Source organism: Homo sapiens, chromosome 3, assembly GCF_000001405.40.
Source record: "Homo sapiens chromosome 3, GRCh38.p14 Primary Assembly".
NCBI classification, from domain to species: domain Eukaryota; kingdom Metazoa; phylum Chordata; class Mammalia; order Primates; family Hominidae; genus Homo; species Homo sapiens.
Window position 1 is genome coordinate 10,981,153 of NC_000003.12, and position 17,204 is coordinate 10,998,356.

At 49.5% G+C, this 17,204-nt stretch overlaps 1 protein-coding gene across 5 annotated transcripts in view, besides 3 other annotated features; it reads left to right on the plus strand.

Moving 5' to 3' along the window:
* Positions 1,964-2,742: an enhancer, noted in NCBI's record as "OCT4-NANOG hESC enhancer chr3:11024802-11025580 (GRCh37/hg19 assembly coordinates)". NCBI's record gives its function as "activates a minimal SCP1, AML or CMV promoter by ChIP-STARR-seq in naive H9 embryonic stem cells {active_cell/tissue: H9 hESC(naive)}" and the evidence as "EXISTENCE:reporter gene assay evidence [ECO:0000049][PMID:30033119]".
* The window catches only part of SLC6A1 (solute carrier family 6 member 1), a 46,500-nt gene continuing 40,891 nt past the window's right edge, over positions 11,596-17,204 (plus strand). For all 5 annotated transcript variants that reach the window (NM_003042.4, NM_001348252.2, NM_001348250.2 and 2 more), the window contains exon 1: positions 11,596-11,777. The gene's annotated coding sequence lies outside the window, so the exon portion shown is untranslated. The remainder of the gene's footprint in view (positions 11,778-17,204) is intronic.
* Positions 11,916-12,440: an enhancer, noted in NCBI's record as "H3K4me1 hESC enhancer chr3:11034754-11035278 (GRCh37/hg19 assembly coordinates)". NCBI's record gives its function as "activates a minimal SCP1, AML or CMV promoter by ChIP-STARR-seq in naive H9 embryonic stem cells {active_cell/tissue: H9 hESC(naive)}" and the evidence as "EXISTENCE:reporter gene assay evidence [ECO:0000049][PMID:30033119]".
* Positions 16,279-16,448: an enhancer, noted in NCBI's record as "experimental_64297 CRE fragment used in MPRA reporter constructs". NCBI's record gives its function as "activates a minimal promoter by MPRAs in K562 erythroleukemia cells, with activity observed for the non-introgressed 3:11039202 variant allele {active_cell/tissue: K562}" and the evidence as "EXISTENCE:reporter gene assay evidence [ECO:0000049][PMID:34662402]".

The window sequence follows — 17,204 nt, forward strand, 5'->3', positions numbered from 1 at the left end:
CTGAGAAACTAACACCCTGAGAAGCAGCCCTCAACTGATGGCTGGCAGGATCTGGTGTACAAATACCCCAGCTCCCTCTCTCCTTGAGTAGGATAATTCTGAGGTGCATGTGCTACGCTATTTCCTAGAGTTTCCTCCAGGCAATTAAACTCTGGTTGCCCACCCCTGGTAGCTGGCTCAATCATACACCCTATATTGGCTGCCTTCCCTTCCCAATCTCACTTCCCTACCCAGGTTCTCTGCATCTCCCAAATAAACTGCCTGCACTCAAGTCCTCATCTCAGGGTATGCTTCTGGGAAAGACCAAACAATAACCTCCTTCAGAAGCTGAGATCCAGACACACTCTAACAGAAGCTTTGGTCACCAACAATATGTCTTCTAGAAGGAACTTTCTAAGACTCAGATCCAATCACATCCTTCTCCAGGACTCCTACACTAAGTTCAAACTCTTTCAAGTGGTATCTGGACATATATAAAGGTTTTGCCTGTTCAGCAACCATTTTCCCTGACCTAGTTACAACCCTCAATTGGGCACGAGGGTAGGAAATTACTTCTCCAAATTCAGTCCTAACAAGACACAGGATAGTATCATGGTCGAGACTAGTGGATCTGAATCCTGCCTAGGGGACCTAGGGCAAGTACGTCACTTCACTGAGCCTCCAGTCTTTATATGATGGGCAACAAGGATGGGACCACCCACACGGGGTCTCATGTGGATTAAATGAGTTCATACACACAAAGGGTTGAGTATAATAGCTGGCAGTACCTGGCATGTGGTTCAGGTGGGTTAATTCCACCCCAGGTTCCGTAGAAATGGGGTGGATGTGAATCAGGCTTAGCCAGAAAAAGACAAATACCTCTGACCACAACGACTGGCTCAGGAATGAGTCTGTGGGCCAAGTTAGCCCCATGAGAACCAGCCCTAGGAATTTGCCGGAAAGGCTGGGAATGAAAGAGTCTTTCCTCTTGAGAGGATAAGGGTGTTTGTCTAGAACTGCTGACAGCCATGCTGTCAACACGTGGGGAGAATGAAGCCAACTCTCAGGGAAGCAGAGCTGAGAAATGGAGGCTGGGGGCGGGGATGGATCCAGCCATGCTGACAAGATATACTCCTGGCATTTTAGCTGTGCAAGTCGATAAATTTCATTTGATGTTTCAGGTGGTTTCAGCTCAGATTCCATCTCCTGCAAGCAAAAGAATTTAGGATGGAGTCACACTCTAGATCTGAATTGAATGAGTCAGATGGCCCTTTGACATCCTAAGGCCAGTGACTTCTAGGTTTTATCTTTAGCCAAATAAAAATTGTATCAAAATAATCAGTAGCCCTTTGACATTCTAAGGCCAATGACTTCTAGGTTTTATCTTTAGCCACGCAAAAATTGTATCAAAATAATCAGTAGCCCTTTAACATCCTAAGGCCAGTGACTTCCAGGTTTTATCTTTAGCCACACAAAAATTATATCAAAATAATCAGTAGAAGTCCAGCTTATAAAAGTGCAACTGTACTAGTTGAATTCAAGATAGATACCCTTGAGCCCCTCAAAGTAGGGTGCATGATTGAGCCAGCTACCAGGGTGGGCAATAGGAGTTCAATTGCATGGGGGAAACTCTATCACACAAGGAAATATCACTCACATGTAACTGCCTCCCAGAGGCACCTCCACAGGAAGATCCAGGGATCAGTGGGGTCCCAGGACTGGGACCATTGTCCTGTACCACCCCTGTAACAATCCAGCTGAACAAACAGAAAGTCCAAGAGGGAAAGTGACTTGCCCAGAATCACATGTTTGAGTGACAGCTGGAATCCAGGTGAGCCACTCTCTGCACCTCCCCGACCGTATTTTTTAAGTTTCTGTGACTCACACGCCACATCAAAAAGGTTTTTTTTGAAACATTCATGCCACTGTTTAGGAATTTTGCCAGGACTGCACGTACTCAGATTGTCATTGACTTAATATCTTTCTTTAAATAAATCCCTACTTTTAAACTACAATAAACTTATTTAAAAGGAAACATTCCACCACTGCCACTACAAATAGAAAGCTAATATCCCTTGCCAAAATAGAAATTGTTAAAATAAATACAACAAAAATAACAAACAAAGAGCAATGTTATTAAATTCCAGCCAGACTCCGTTTCAGGAAGGAAGCTGAGGCCAGCTCTGTATTGAAAAAGGAGATTAGCAAGGATTGGAGAGGTGTTAAATTCATGGCAGCACCACTGTGAGACTTTCTTTTTCATGTGAACAGAAGGATTAGGTGTGAATTGAAGAGGAGGTCACTTTCCACGTTTGCGAGTCTGTGTCATCTAGTGCCAGGTCCAGGTCTCACCCGGAATCCTCTCCTGGCCCTCTAGTGGTAGAATCTGACACTAGGGAAAATTCTGCCATAGGCCAGTGCTTCTGCAACTTTAATGTGCAGGTGAGTTTCCTGGGGTTTTGTTAAATGCAGATTCTAATTAAACAGATTGGAGATGAAGGGCCGAGATTCTGCATAATAGTAAGTTCCCAGGTGAGACCAATGCAGCTGATGGTCCATGGATTACACTTTGAGGACAGTCTAGACCAGGGGTCAGCAAACTATGAATTATCAGCCAAGTCTGCAGCCCCACAACCTGTTTTTGTGACTAAAGTCTTCTTAGAACACTGCCATGCTCGCTTGCTTATATATTATCTTGTGGATTACACAGCAGAGTTGAATAGTTGCAACAGAGATCTTACGGCCTGCAAACCCTAAAATATTTACTACCTGGTCTTCTTCCAAGGAAGTTTGCTGACCCCCTGGTCTAGACAGCAGACCCTTAGGCCTTCACAGGTCCCTGACTGCCAAGGCCATAGGGAAAGGGGCCCGGCAACATGTCCAACTGTCATCTTGGCCACCCACTCCTCAGCAAAGGCAGGCACTAAAAAACTTTTTTTTTTTTAATGTAAGTAAAGGTGCCCGTATAGAATGCAGTATCAACAAGAGTAGCAATGGGTAAATATTTTAATAGGTTAAGGATCAGGGTTGTCAGATGAGGAATTAAATTGCCTTTGAACCCTCTGAGTGAAAGGGTTGCAGAGCATCCCTTAGCACCATGGATGTGGAACCAGAGCCCTGTGCCCGTCGCCTTCGGCCTCAGAGCCCTGTGCCCGTCGCCTTTGGCCTCAGAGCCCTGTGCATGTCGCCTTCGGCCTCAGAGCTCCTTCTTGTTGAAAGAGGCAGGTTTGGCTTCTTAGTAATGGAGACTCAGAGCTCTTAAATGGGCTGCTGGCAAATCTACCAAAGTTCAACACACACCTCCCCAGGACCTGCAATCCCACTCCTAGGTATTAGAAAGACAATTCTGCAAGTGAGTCTTGGCCTAAAAATGCATGGCTTTTTATCATGAAATCAGTAAGTGTGGAAGAAGAACCACTGAACAGAAGTGCATTCACATGTGCACCTGAGGGCATGTATAAAAATGTTCTCAGCAGCACTATTTAGAGTACCCTGGAGCAGAAAACAATCCAGTGTCCATCAACTGGAGAATGGAAAAATACATTGCAACATATCTGTACAAGGGAATACTATACAGACCTGAAAATAACAAATGATTGCTACATCCAACGGCAAGGATAAATCTCACCAACATGATGTGGAATGAAAGAAGCCAGGCACATGAGAGTATGACACTATTTGTGTGAAGTTCAAGGACAGGCAAAACTAACTTATGGTAATGGAAGTCATTATAGTGGCTACCTTTTGGGGTGATATATTGACTGGGAATCTCTGGGAAGGTAAAAATGTTCTACAGCTTGCTCCAGCAGTAGGTACATGGATGGGTGTACCTGTAAAATGTCACTGAGCTATACACTCAGAATTAGAGCTCTTTCTGCACTTTATTGCATGTTATACCCCAATTTGAAAAACTTTTTCATAGGCTGCTAGCCAGCCCAGCAGATAAGGTGTGTTGGCTACTGTGGGTCACTCCAGCCCCATGGAGAGGCAAGAAAGCAAGTTGATGAGATCTAGTGGCTGGTGGCTTTTGTCACCACCAATTATGGGTGCAGTGGGGTCAGGGAGGCACCCAAGGGCCTGGCAGCAGGGAAGTTATTCTCCCATCTTCTTCTTAGAAGCACATTCTTCACAGATGCTTATCTCAAGAGCTGCTTCCAAGGTGATATCATTTTTAAAAGCCACCAAAAGCCCTCTCCTAGGACTGCCTTTGTATAAACTGCCACATTTGGCTGGGCACAAGGCACTTGGTATGCATTGCTCTGTTGAACCCAGGCAACCAGCCCTAGAAGCAGAGACACAAGCAGGGATGTTGAGGAACTTGCCATAGGCCACACGGCTGTGAGGACATGCTGTGATTTTTAACTCTTTCCTTCCTTTCTTCCTTCTTTCTTTCCTTCCTTCCTTCCTTCCTTCCTCCCTCTTTTCTTTTCTTTTCCTATTCTTTCTTTCTTTCTTTATCTTGGTAGATATGGGCCCTCACTATGTTGGCCAGGCTAGTCTCGAACTCCTTGCCTCAAGTGATCCTCCTACCTCGGCCTCCCAAAGTGGTAAGATTACAGGTGTAAACCATTGTGCCCAGCCACCCTTTCTTAATTACTCTAACAGCCATACTTGCATCTGCACCACACATCAGTGCTCTATAGATAAGACCAAGAAAAAATCCTTACATAGGTGTGACACTTTATACATATGAAGGCACTTTCTACATAGTAAGAAAATGGTTAGAAGCCCAAGCTAAACTATTTGATTTCAAATCTCATCTCTAGCAGTTCTAGGTGTGCTTTTGGGCAAGTGATTTAACCTCTCTGTGCCTGTTTCCTCACCTGTAAAATGAGGCTATTGATAGCACCTATCTCACAGGCTTGTCTAAGGATTGCTGTACAGCTGCTTGAATATTCTCTGGCACAGTAGGCTCTCAGTAATGTTAGCTATTCACATGTTAGTCAATACAAGTCAGCATTTACCGAGCCCTCTCCACTACTGCAGGTGACCTCATTCAGATTTCAGGGCCATACTGGGAGTCTCTATCTCATTCCCATTTCACAGACCATGAAAAAGAAGTTTGAAGAAATCAGTGCCTTTCCCGAACAGAGGCCCCAAGAGAGTAAGCAGCTCACCAGGGTTTAAACCAGGTCTTACTGGCTGTGTGACCTTGGACAAGTTGTTTCATCCTTTGAGTCTTTTATTTTTTATACTTTAAGTTCTAGGGTACATGTACACAATGTGCAGGTTTGTTACATGTGTATACGTGTGCCATGTTGGTTTGCTGCACCCATTAGCCTGTGGTGGAGTCTTAATCTATAAAAAGGGAACAACACCACCCATTTTATGGGGTCTTTTGGTGGAGGATTGCAGTGGTTAATGTGAATGGCTCCAGCACTAAGAGAACCTCCATAAATACTTACATAGTTACTTGGTATTTTAAAGACATGACTTGCCCATGGTCGCATAGCTCCTGGATAACTCTCTGGGATGTGAATCCAGTCTTCCCTCCCCAGTGTCCACATTCTTTCCACAGCATGGACTGCCTCTTTGTGCCTTCCTTCCAGGCCTGTCTTTCCTCCAGCCCAACCACCTCGCTGCCCTCCAGATAAGCCTTGGGTTTCCAGATAGACATGCATCAGTGTCCTCGGTGTGCAGCACACAGGATCCAGTCTGTGTTAGCTGTCAGACACCACAGGTGACCGGTGACATTCCAATCCTTGCCAACTGGGCAGGGCTCTTATTCCCAGGAGGCTGGCACTGCCCGGGGAAGAAAAAATAAGGGGTTTTGAACTCTGAGCCCTGCTCCTCACATCCTGTCCATTGAGGGGTGGACGCCCAGGCCCTCAAAAATTTATACTTGAGTGAGACACAAATGCATGGTTTTCCTTAGTGCCTTCATCTATTCAATACATATTTATTGCATGTTTCCAGCTGGAGGTGGTGGCTCATGCCTATAATCCCAGCACTTTGAGAGGCCAAGGCAGTCGGATCACCTGAGGTCAGGAGTTCAAGACCAGCCTGGCCAACATGGCAAAACCCCATCTCTACTAAAAATACAAAAATTAGCTGGGCATGGTGGTGCGAGCCTGAAATCCCAGCTACTCAGGAGGCTGAGACAGGAGAATTGCTTGAACCTAGGAGGCAGAGGTTGCCGTGAGCCAAGATTATGCCACTGTACTCCAGCCTGGGCGACAGTTTGAGACTCTGTCTCAAAAAAAAAAAAGGATATTTATTGCACGGGTCAGAGGTGTCCTGGTGGCACCCAAGCTGAAACCTGCAGAGTAAGAAAGAGTTTACCAGGAGAAGAGGGAGGATGAGGGAACAGTGTTTCCAGCAGAGGGAACAGCATATATGAAGGCCCAGAGGTAGAAGCCTTTTGAGGGGCACTGAAAGTAGCCTCATTTGGCTGGATGCAGGCAATGAGCGTGGAAGGGAACTCAAGAGTCCCAGGCACCCCGCGAGAGAATGTAAGGGTCACAGTCAACAAGTATTGAGCCCTGCTGTGTGTAGCAGTCCAAGGGAAAACAGTCCCTGCCCCCACCAAAGGGAGAGTGGTAAGAAGCTGAAGGAAGGCAGTAGTAAGGTCTGTGTGGGAGTTTCAGTGGAGAAGAAATCATATGTAGTTGGGAAAAAATCAGTCAAGATTCTTGGAGGTGGTAGCATTTGAGATTGACCTTGAACCTCAACTAGAATCTTGTCAGCTGGGGAGGTAGGGCATGGATATTCCTTGCAATTCACAGCAGAACAATGAACATATACTGAGCATTTACCACATACCAGGGCGTTAGCTGGCTTTCTCCAAGCAACCTTCTGAGGTAGAGACTACTATCATTCGCACTTTATAGAGAGAAAACTGAGGCCTAGAAAGGGGAGGTCACATGTCCAAGGTCTGTCTAGCTCAAAGACAGCATAATACCTATAGTACAATGTGCCGTGGAGAAATGTTTATGAAGCCATCTCCTGGGGGCAGGCTCATCTCCATGGCTGCTCTTGGCCTGTCTTTTCATGCGCTGCCCATTTGGAGGCATGTGCCTGTTGAGTGTTTAAGTATTGATCTCAGCATGGTATGACAGGCACAAATATTTAAACATTCAGCAGTGAGGCCTCGTTGCCCAAGATCTGTCCCAGCGTGACTCGGGGACAGAATAACAAAATGAACTTAGGTCTTATTATCTCCTGCGAGGCTTATTGTGGTTTCTCAAGTGATTACGCACATTAATGCAGGGACTCCTTTTGCTAATGGGGGAATTTCTGGCATGGAGGGGGGTGTGGTTAAGGTAATAACATTTCTTCTGAAAACAAAAAAAATGAAGGCCTGCTTCCCTACAGGGGATATTTTCTTAGGTTGAAGGGGGACTTCTCAGTGTTACTACAATTTTGGAAAGCCTGGAATATGGGATTCTTTGTTGTCATGGAGACAGAGTCTGCTATGAGCAGCAGATGGGGTCCTGGACAGAGGGCCTGGACAACGGGCAGGAGAGCAAAGCAGGTTGGTGACAAGTCTGGGGGTCCTGACTCCCAGATTGGGTTTCTTCCCAGATCGTCACCTATAGCCTAATGAGAGGCTCTCTGGGGCGGCAGAAAAACTCCCTGGCAGGATTCATGAGCTTACAGGCCCAGAGCCCTGGCTTTGGAGGAGCCCAGGCCTAAGCTGAGATCCAGTCTCTGCTCCTCTCCTACTGTGTGTCTCTGGGCCAGTGGTTCGTCCTCTCTACACCTCTGTTTCCCCATGTGTCAATCATTACCATGCAGCAAGTGCTCAAAAATGTAGCTAGTAGGCATGGTTTTCGTGGCTTTGCCAGCAGATAGCCAAGTACCCTCAGGCAAGTCAGTGCCTCTCTCTGGGCCTCAGTTTACCTGCAAAAGCATTCAACTAGCTAATATCTAAGGACCATTTCTAGCCTAATGGCCTGTGAGTCTATGACTCAATGAACTCTCCCAACTCGAGAAAGAGAGAGGACTATGATAATGACATTCACAATCGACATTTCCACCATCTATTGGGTGCCTACTATGCGCTGGGAACCCTGCTGGGCACCAGGTCCTCCTCGTCTCACACCTACAGTGCAGCCTCCTGACAATCTTCTCACTTCTGATCTTCTCCCTTTTAATCCATCCTGCATACCTGGCCAGTTTCAGCTTTCTTAAACCCTGCCTGCTCCTTTGCTCCAGAACACTCAGTGGCTCCCCAGTGCCCCTCAAGGTCAAGACCCAACTCCTTAATGTGGCAAGCGAACCTTCCATGCTCAAGCCCTTCCCTTTGTCATGGACTCTCTGACAGACTGTGTTGTCTCTTTGTCTAGTCCTCCCCATTCCTCGTACTCAGTAGGTGCTCAATAAATATTTGTCGAGTGAATGAACACATGGATAAAATGTTTCTCTAAATTAGGCTACTCAAACTTTAGTCCTTTGCAAAGCAGCCACAAGAGTTTTGCAAAAATCTGCACACCATGTCTATTTTTATTTACTTAAATATTTTCCTTTTTTAGATTAAATAAATGTATCTCAAAAGGAAACTTTACATCATGCTATAACTAGAAGGCCAATATTACTTGCCAGAAATAGGTCTCCATTAAAATAAATACAAGGACAAATGAGCAAAGCATTCAATTCTAACTAGATACTGTTGTCTACCAAAGCTGGCAGCCTCTCAGTTAAAATGGGATTAGTCAGTGCTTTGGAGAGGTGTTAAAGACTAAACCAGCACCAACCTGAGACTTGCCCATTGACAGAAATCACAAGGATGTAACAAAGGGATGAATAGGGGAGAACTGTTTCACTCCAAGTTATTTCACTCCACTGAAAATTATCCTACCTACCATCAGAGGTTGGCAGCCTACATTTTGGAAACCTTGTTCTACAGAGCCCACAGCTCCAGCTCAGGAGGTATGCATATGAGTTCTCTGAAAGACTTCAACTCAGGCTTTTTGAAAGAGTATTGGAAGCCCTGCATGCAACTACCTCGCCTTCACAATATAGTGTCCCTATCTGAAGTCTCACTGCACCAGAGACAGCTCTCAGAGCTCGACTGTGATAAGAGTTTGTTGGAAACCATCTTCCTGGTGGAATAATGAGCTCTCCCCATCCTTGCAGAGATGCAGACATACGCTGGACAGTCATGGGTGTAGGGCAGGGGCAGAGAATGCCAGCGGGGGCAGGGAATGTCATGGAGATAATTCAAGCATCAGATGGTCAGCCTATGAAATTGACCTGATAGCTAGAGTTTGCTTTCATATGTAAGCAAAACAAATCCAGAGGGATGAAAAGAGAGAGGAATTCATTTCTGGTCAGCAACGTAGAAAAAACAGAGAGACAATTGTGAATGAGGTTACCCAGAAAACACGAAGGACAAAAGGGGGATGGGAATGGCTATTATTATTCCTTTTTATAATGCTTCATAATTCTCAATCCAACACTGGATTCATGAAGACTATTTTGGTTTTAAGCAACATAAACTGAATTCAAACTTGTGTAGCATAGGAAAAACAATTTAATGATATAAATAGCTGACACTGCCTTCAGGTATGGCTGGATCCAGGGACCTGATATACATCAAGACTCACTCCACTCTCTGTCTCTCAGTTCTGCTCTCCTCTATGTTGGCTTCATTTTAGGTCGGGTCTGCTCAAGTTCTGCAAAGATGGCTGCCAACACCTCTATGCTTAGGAGCTTTGGTGGAGATTGAGTTTCTGTTTGACAATAGTTTTAGCAAAAGTCCCAGACAGAGTTCTCATTGGCCCAGCATATGTCACACGTCCCCTCATTGAGGTCAGAGTGATGTGCTCTGATTATCTGTGCCCTGGGTCACATGTCTGTCTCCAGGAGGAGGGAGCCCCACCCAACCATATTGAATATGAGTGAAGGAGGGGAAGTTTCCCAAATGAAAATTGAGGTTCTGTCACCCAAAGAAGTTGAAATGAATGTCAGGCAAGCAAAAGTAGCCTTCATTTTTGCTACCCTTGTATCTCCACTCAAAGCTATGCCCCACATCTCCATCCAGACAGCTCCTACTCATCCTTCAGACCTCAGTTCAAATGGCGCTTCCTTGAGGAAACCTTCCCAAACCATCCCACACTAGACTGGAATCCCCTGCTGGACTAGAATCCCCTGCATGTGTGCTCCTGGCAGAGCTTGTCATTCTGGGTTTGTGCGGTTATTTGATGAAAGCCTGTCTCCCATACTGGACTGGCATCACCTTGAAAGCTGTGGCCTGTCTTGTCCATCGCTCTGTCCCTGGAGCCTAGGACAGTGCCTGGCACACAGGTGGAACTCGGGAAATATTTATTTGAAATACCAACGGAAGTCCACAGCACATATGACCTGGTGATCAGTGGTGGGAGGTGAATGGGTCAAGAAAGACACCAAGATTCCCTGCTCATGAGTGAGAGTGTGGGGAAACAGAAGAAGTCAGGGTGACCTTGGTGAGCACTGCCCTGGGGGACTCGAGGATGGATGAAAGCAGGGAGGAGGCCAGATTAGGTGGGGTAGAGGACCTGAGGTCCATCAGCAAAGGCCATCCCTGGGGACAAAGAGAGGAGGGGAAGAGTAGGTCTGGGCTGGAGAGAAGGAATCTTTTCTCTGAGTTCCTGGGGACCCCAGAGGGAAGGGCAGATGTGGCCCCATTCCCAGAAGCCTTTATAAAAGAGGGTGGGGAGGTCAGGCCTTGGCAAGGACAAGGGAAGGAGTCCCTACGTGCTGGATTGGGATTGGCTGGAAAGGGGACTTCTCTGGGAGAATCCCTCAAACCTCAAGAACTGAGAGAAGGGTGTCTGGGGCTCCTGCCACCATCCCTGTTTCCCTTTTAAGTAATCTGTTTCCCCATCTGTCCATCCATACACACAGCCACTTGTGTCTCCATGACCAACCGCTGGCAGTGGAAGGGTGTCCTTCCCACCCCCACTCTTACACACACTCCCAGCTGGTACCCAGAGCCTGGTCACCCCAGGCCAGGCCTGTGTTTCCAGGTGTAACGGGCAGCAGACGCTGCCCTAGGACTAGAGCAGGGAGGGGGCACGGGCCCACCCCAACCCACAGCGACCCACAGAGGGCGAAAAGAGGACGACCGCAGAGAGAAACGGAAAGGACAGGCCAACGGAAGCAGTACTGCAAGGCTGGAAGGAGAAAAGCCAGGAGGGGAGTGCTTGCTGTGAAAGACAGGGAGACAGAGACCAAGACGGACAGGCAGACAGGCTGGTGACCCAGGATGAGGCCGGAAAGAGCCATCAAAGGAAGGAGAAGGAAGGAGAGAGATTGGAGCGGGACGGCGGGGCAGGCGAGGGAAGGAGGGGGTGGGGAGAGGGAGGGAGGAAGAGAGGGGAGAAAGAGGGAGGAAGAGAGGGGAGAAGGAGGGAGAAGAGAGCGGGAGAATGCGAGAGGAAAGAAGGGAGAGGGGAGGCGTAGAAGGGGAGAGGAGGTGAAGGGAAAAGGAGAGAGCCTGCTGGCGGCGAAGCTGCAAGAGGCAGCTGCGGAGGGAGCGCGCGGCGGGCCTGGGGGAGCGCTGGGCGGGGGCGGGCGGTGCGGGCAGGGCTATACCCGAGCTGGGCGGGCTCCGGGCGCCGCGGGCCCTGCCCTCCCCCTCCATCCCTCCGGACTCGCTCCCCCCTCCTCTCCCTTCCCCGCGACCCTCCGCCCGCCCTCGGAAGACCGAGACAGCGGAGAGGTTGCGGGTGAGCTGCGCTGAGCCCAGGAGCCGAGGAGTCGGGAGCGCAGTAGCGCTGAGCCCGAGCCCGAGCGGCCCCGCGTCCCGAGCGCATCGGAGCGGCCGAGCCGCCCGGATGCAGCGCCTGTCCCGGGCAGCGCAGCCCCGGCCGCAGGTAGGAAAGGGCGGCCGGCGTCGGGGCGCGGGGCGCAGAGCCTGGGATAACGGCGCAGGAACGGCCAGAGCCCCGAGCCGCTGCCGCGAGCCGGGCCGGGTGGGGGGCGGACACCTCGAGATTCAAGCCCCCGCGCCGCACCTTCCCTGAGCCACATGAAGGAGCAGAGGCGCCGCTCGGACCCCGACGTGCGCCCAGGCCATCCGTCCCCTGGGACACTCGGGAGGCAGGAGGGCTGGAACAGAGGCGAGAGTTGCATGCCCCTTCCCTCCCGCGGTGCCCCACTGGCCCCGCAAGTTGGCACTGGATTCTGCTGGAGCCGTCGAAGCTCCCTATTCATTCCCCAGGGCATGGAGGGGACGCGGAGTGAATGACACGAGCAGCGTTGGGGGGCCGTGCGCCACTTTCCCAATCCTGGGGTCAGCTGAGCCGAGTTAGAGCTATGCCCCTCATTTGTTCTCTGCGGGCTACGGCGGGGTCGGGTGCGACTTGAGGATGGGACGTCTCTGGGACAGCCCGAGCTCTCAGAAACGTTGGCTTAAAAGCACACCGGGGCTTGGGCTGAGTGCACCGGAGCTAAGCCTAGTGCACCAGAGCTCGCGCCGCGCTCTCCCAGCCCCGACTTTCTCCAAGAGATGTGGGGTGCGGGCGGTCCCTTAGAGGGCTGGAGGACGGTGCCTCCTTGCTGCTTCGGGAACTGCGCTCCCCTTCTTGCTTTTGGTCTCTGCGTGTACTCCCCGGCGCGACACCGCTCACCACGGTAGCCTCGGGCAGTGCCCATTGGGTTCTGAGCACACGTCCCCACGGGTGGCACCCACAGATGTCCTGTTCTAGGCTTGGCTCGGTCTTCAGACAAGAAACTCAGACCGGGCAGTCCCCTATTGAGGCTCTGAGCTAATATCCTCCCAAAATAGACATGAACCACAAGGAGAATTTTTTAAAAGCCAAATGATAACACCACGTTCTTTCCGGATGTGGGGCTGGAGCGCTCATTCCCTTTCCCAGGAAGCTCAGCCTTATCCCCATGAAGAGCTGGGGGGGCGGGGAGGGCGGGAATAAAATGGCTCCTGAGATTTGTGACACCCCAAAAATCAGAGACGGTATCAGACTGAGTGGCATTGGGGGTCTACCTTTGTTTTTCTATGACACACAAGGTGGGTGTTTGGCAAGAGAGTAGGGATGTTGGGTGCTGGATAGTGCCTAGATTCTGTGTCTTTGGGAACTTTGGGGGAAGTGTCCTCCTAAGGGAGCCAAAAAGGCTGCTACCCCAGTCCCCCAAATTCCAAAACAAAAGAGGTCAGTGAAAGCTACTCGCATTTTGCATGTTATCTCTTTATCTTTGGAGCACATTGGGAAGGACTGACCCAGCTCCAGATCAGGGTCTGATTGGGGCAGGACAGACCCTCTCCAAGGCAGAGAAGGGGAAAAAGAACTTGCCCTTAGAAGTGGGAGTCCCTGGGGGAGTGGGACAGACCTTTTCCCAGAGCAGCCCTGGCAAAATGGCTGAGCCTCCCTTGAGCCTCAGAAATAAATCGTCAGGCAGGCAGCAAACAAAGAAAGAGCTCTGTCTCCAGCCAAGCACTGGCTCAGTGGCCAGTCCTTGGAGGACAAACAGTGAGTCCCAAGCAGAGAGACGCAGCCCGGCCTGTCTGGCAGAGCATCTGGAAAGTGGGGTTCCCCTAGGAACACACAGGAGAGAGGCAGCCACTCTGGAGGTAAAATCAGGGACCCTCTGTCCTGATGTGGGACACTTTATTTCAGGTCTGGAGGCTTGATGAGAAGTGGGTCTCCAGGAACTTAGATGGGGCTGGGAAGGATGTCTGGAGACCAAGGAGTAGGTAGCTTAGAGGGTAAAGATGAGGCAAAATCAAGTCCATCGAAGCCAAAAGATGCACAGTGGCCACGTCTCTCCTGCCTGCCACGGATTTTACATGCCTGGTGACCCCGGAGCAGCAGAGGCTATAAATTTTTTTACACGTGGCCCAGCACACAGCAGGACCTCAATAAACCTCTTAGAATAAAGCCTGCATGGATGGAAGGTGATGCTATCACTGGCATGGACCTACCTGCAATCTGTACCTGTCTCACTGAGCCAGGAAGGCTATAAAATGTGGCCCCTTAGTCCATAGCCGGGAATGAACGAGCCCCAGATGAGGGTTTGCTTTGAGCTGGGGCATTGCCATTTCTGGCCAGGTGACCTTGGGTACGTTCTTGTTCCTGTTGGAAGGAAGGAATGGAGTACCCAAAGCTTCCAATGTGCCAGGGATTATTCCTACAAGAACCGTGTGGAGCAGGCACTATTCTAATCCCCACTTCAGAGGCGATGAAACTGGATGCAGAGAGGGGAAGTGACTTGTCAAAGGTCACATAGCCAGGAGGAGGAAGGGCAGGGATCTTAACCCTACTGTTCTAATTTCCAGGCCAACTCTGTCCTATTGTGGGTCTCTGGGCCTCGGTTTTTCCATCTGTAAAGTGAAGTGATGGGGTGGTAGTTCCCGTGGGCCTGCCATGGGAGCAGTGGCTGGTCCTCTACCTTGGTGGCATATGACATGTGGAGAGCACCATGAAATAAATAAAGCACCAATATCAGGCCACTTCTTGCCATCACACAAAGACTCCATTCCTTGGCTTGGCTGTGAGCTCAGCAGCTGAGATAGAGTTCCATGCTACTTGGAATTTGGAGATGTCTTTTCCACCCTCTTGCTTGTCTATGGGTCTCAGGCAGAGTGTTAATGACCGTTGATTCAGCCTTGCCACCACCTTTAGCCACCTGCATCCTGAAGTCCATCTCCTTTGTCCTTAGAAGCCCATCCCTGTTGCCTAGCCCAAAATGTGCCCACCTTCCCCTTGACTACCACCCCCGCCCCAGCAGCCCCTCTCCTCAGCCACAGCCCCAATGCCAAACCCAGTTAGAGCCACTTCATCCCCTCTCTGCCCAAATGAAAACTAAAATGCAAGCGTCAGCAGGCCTGTCTATGCCTGTGTCGGGACTACCCCTTCAATTCACCCATGCAACGTCGCCTGAGCTTCTCTGTGCCTGGAGAATGGTGGGCAGGGTATAGCCCCGCTGAATGACAGCAACCTCGAATTGACTTCAGTTGCCAAGAGCATTGGGCACTTCCCCCACAAGGTGAAAAGATCATCCTGTGTCCACTGCTCTGTGGCTTGGCATGCCTCGATGCTGGCTTCTCAGACAGGCCCTGCACGGGTGGCTCTTCTTGCCAACTTTACCCCATTCTCTGAAGGGCACTGGGAGATGGAGGGGAAGAGGTTGGTGCTTGAAAAAGAAAAGATTGGGAGGCCAGATGTGCACCCCAAAATAGGACTTCCCAGGAAATGGGTCTCAGTGAGCATATTAACATCCAGCATCTTCATCTACTCCATGCTCACCTAAGACCTCTGGGGTCAGGGGAAGGGGCTATGGAGTCAGTGGGAAGTGGGCCAGTAGCAGACAGGAGAGTTGCCTGGCATAGGCAGTAGGTGTGAATGCAAGCTGTGATATTTCAGCAGAGACCTGGAATTCAGTCATAAACAGAAAAGAAAGAAAACACTAAATATTGTTCCAATGCAATTGTATCAAAAACAGTAATAACTGTCAGTTACTGCATGTTGGCAATATGCCAGGGACTGTGCTGTGTGCTTTATATCGTTGCAGTTAATTTTCACAAAACCCTGTGAGATACGTAGCATAATGATCCCTGTCAGGGTGAGGAAACTGAGGAGGAGAGGGGCTAAAGCACTTGCTGCAGGATCACTGGGCTGGTAAATAGCCTTAAAGCCCAAACTCAGTCACAGCATGCTTAAATCTCTGCCACTAAAAGCCCCTGACACTGCTTACTTGGCAATGACCATGAGCGCCCCCCGCTGCCTCCACCCCAGTTAAGGAGCTGCACAGTTTACAAAGCACTTCTTCATCCATTCCATCTGTGGAGCTTTGCCACAGCTCTGGGAGGCTGGGTGGCATGATAGCTTCTGCGTGATAACTGGGGAAGCTGACTTGCAGAGAGATGAATTTGTGCCCAAGGTCCCTCAGCTGCTAGGTTGCAGAACTGGGGTTCAAATTGAGATGTCCAGCCTGTTACAACATATTTGGGACCTAGATTTTAAATTCATTTGCAGCTAGTGCTGATGTCATGCACTCAGCCACCTTTCCCTAACTCTCGGGTATCCCCCAATTTTGTCCCCACCATCTTACTGCTCAGGAAGCTATTGAGAGTGCCCTGACAAAGCCATCAGCTGCATTTACCGTGATCTGACATGACACAGAAGTGGCATCCGATTCTATGCAAGCTGCCTGCAGCGAATGGTCTTCTATTTTTACATTTCTCACAAATTGGAAATTACAAGGAGGCCAGGTCTTGCAGCGAGATTGGCTGTGGTGCTCTGAAAGCAGGGGATGTACAACTAGGTGGAACAGGCCACTTTAGGATGCCAGGGGCACTGTTGGCTGTGAAAGGGGCCCCCTGGCTGCTGGGGCTGGATGGGATCCTGGCACACAGGCCAGGCTTGGGGATGCAGGAGTTAGTGACTGCCTTGGACGGTGACCTGCAGCTCTGCCCACCTGTCAGCTGCCTGGTGTCTGCAAGTTCTGTGTCTCACGCCAGCTCCTGAGATAACTGAGCCCTGGCCAGAGGGACATTCAAGGTCAAAGATGCCCTGAAACATCGACAGCAGGTTGCTTTCATGGCTGTGTAGTTTGATAAGGAGATTCTGTGCAGGGAGAGGGCAGCAGCCACAGGGAGGTGAGCAAAGACATTTGGTATCAGTGTTGCGGTTTGCTGCAACTTAGCGCTGATCACGATACTCCCGGTCATCAGAACCGCACTTTATACTTTGCTAAAAATGCTCTTGCAGCTGCTTTTTCTTTTGATCATGTATGAAGTATTCCAGGGGAAGAAAATATGGTCCTTGAGATCCTGGAGAAGAATCCTCTCTCCAATAAAGAGTGATTTTTTTAAAGCTAGTTTTCTTATAAAGCCCAAATCAGAATGACCTTGACCCAAATGAGGCTCCTTTGCACACATGTGCGTACATGCACACGTTAACACTTATGTAGAATTTCAGTTTTCAAAGTGTTTTCTCAGTCGAAGCTTGTGACAGCCCTGGGAACTTCAAGTGAAGGTAATTTTATTGTTATTATTGGTACCATTATTATCCCCATCCAAAAGATGAACCTGAGGCTCAGTGAGCCCTGACTCCTCATCTCTGTCCCCTAGTTTCCCAGCTGATGAAAATCACCTTTGCTAGGCTGAAATCCAAGTTCACCAGGTAGCCCCTTGAGAAGGAGCCCAGATGAGGCCAGATCTGGTAGGAGGCAGAGCACAGAGCACTCAAAGATCGAGACTTACAAGAGAGCGTGGGAAGGCACGGCTGTGAGGCTGGGGAGAAAAGGGCCGTAGCATCTTGTAACCTTACCTGAGCTCTGGC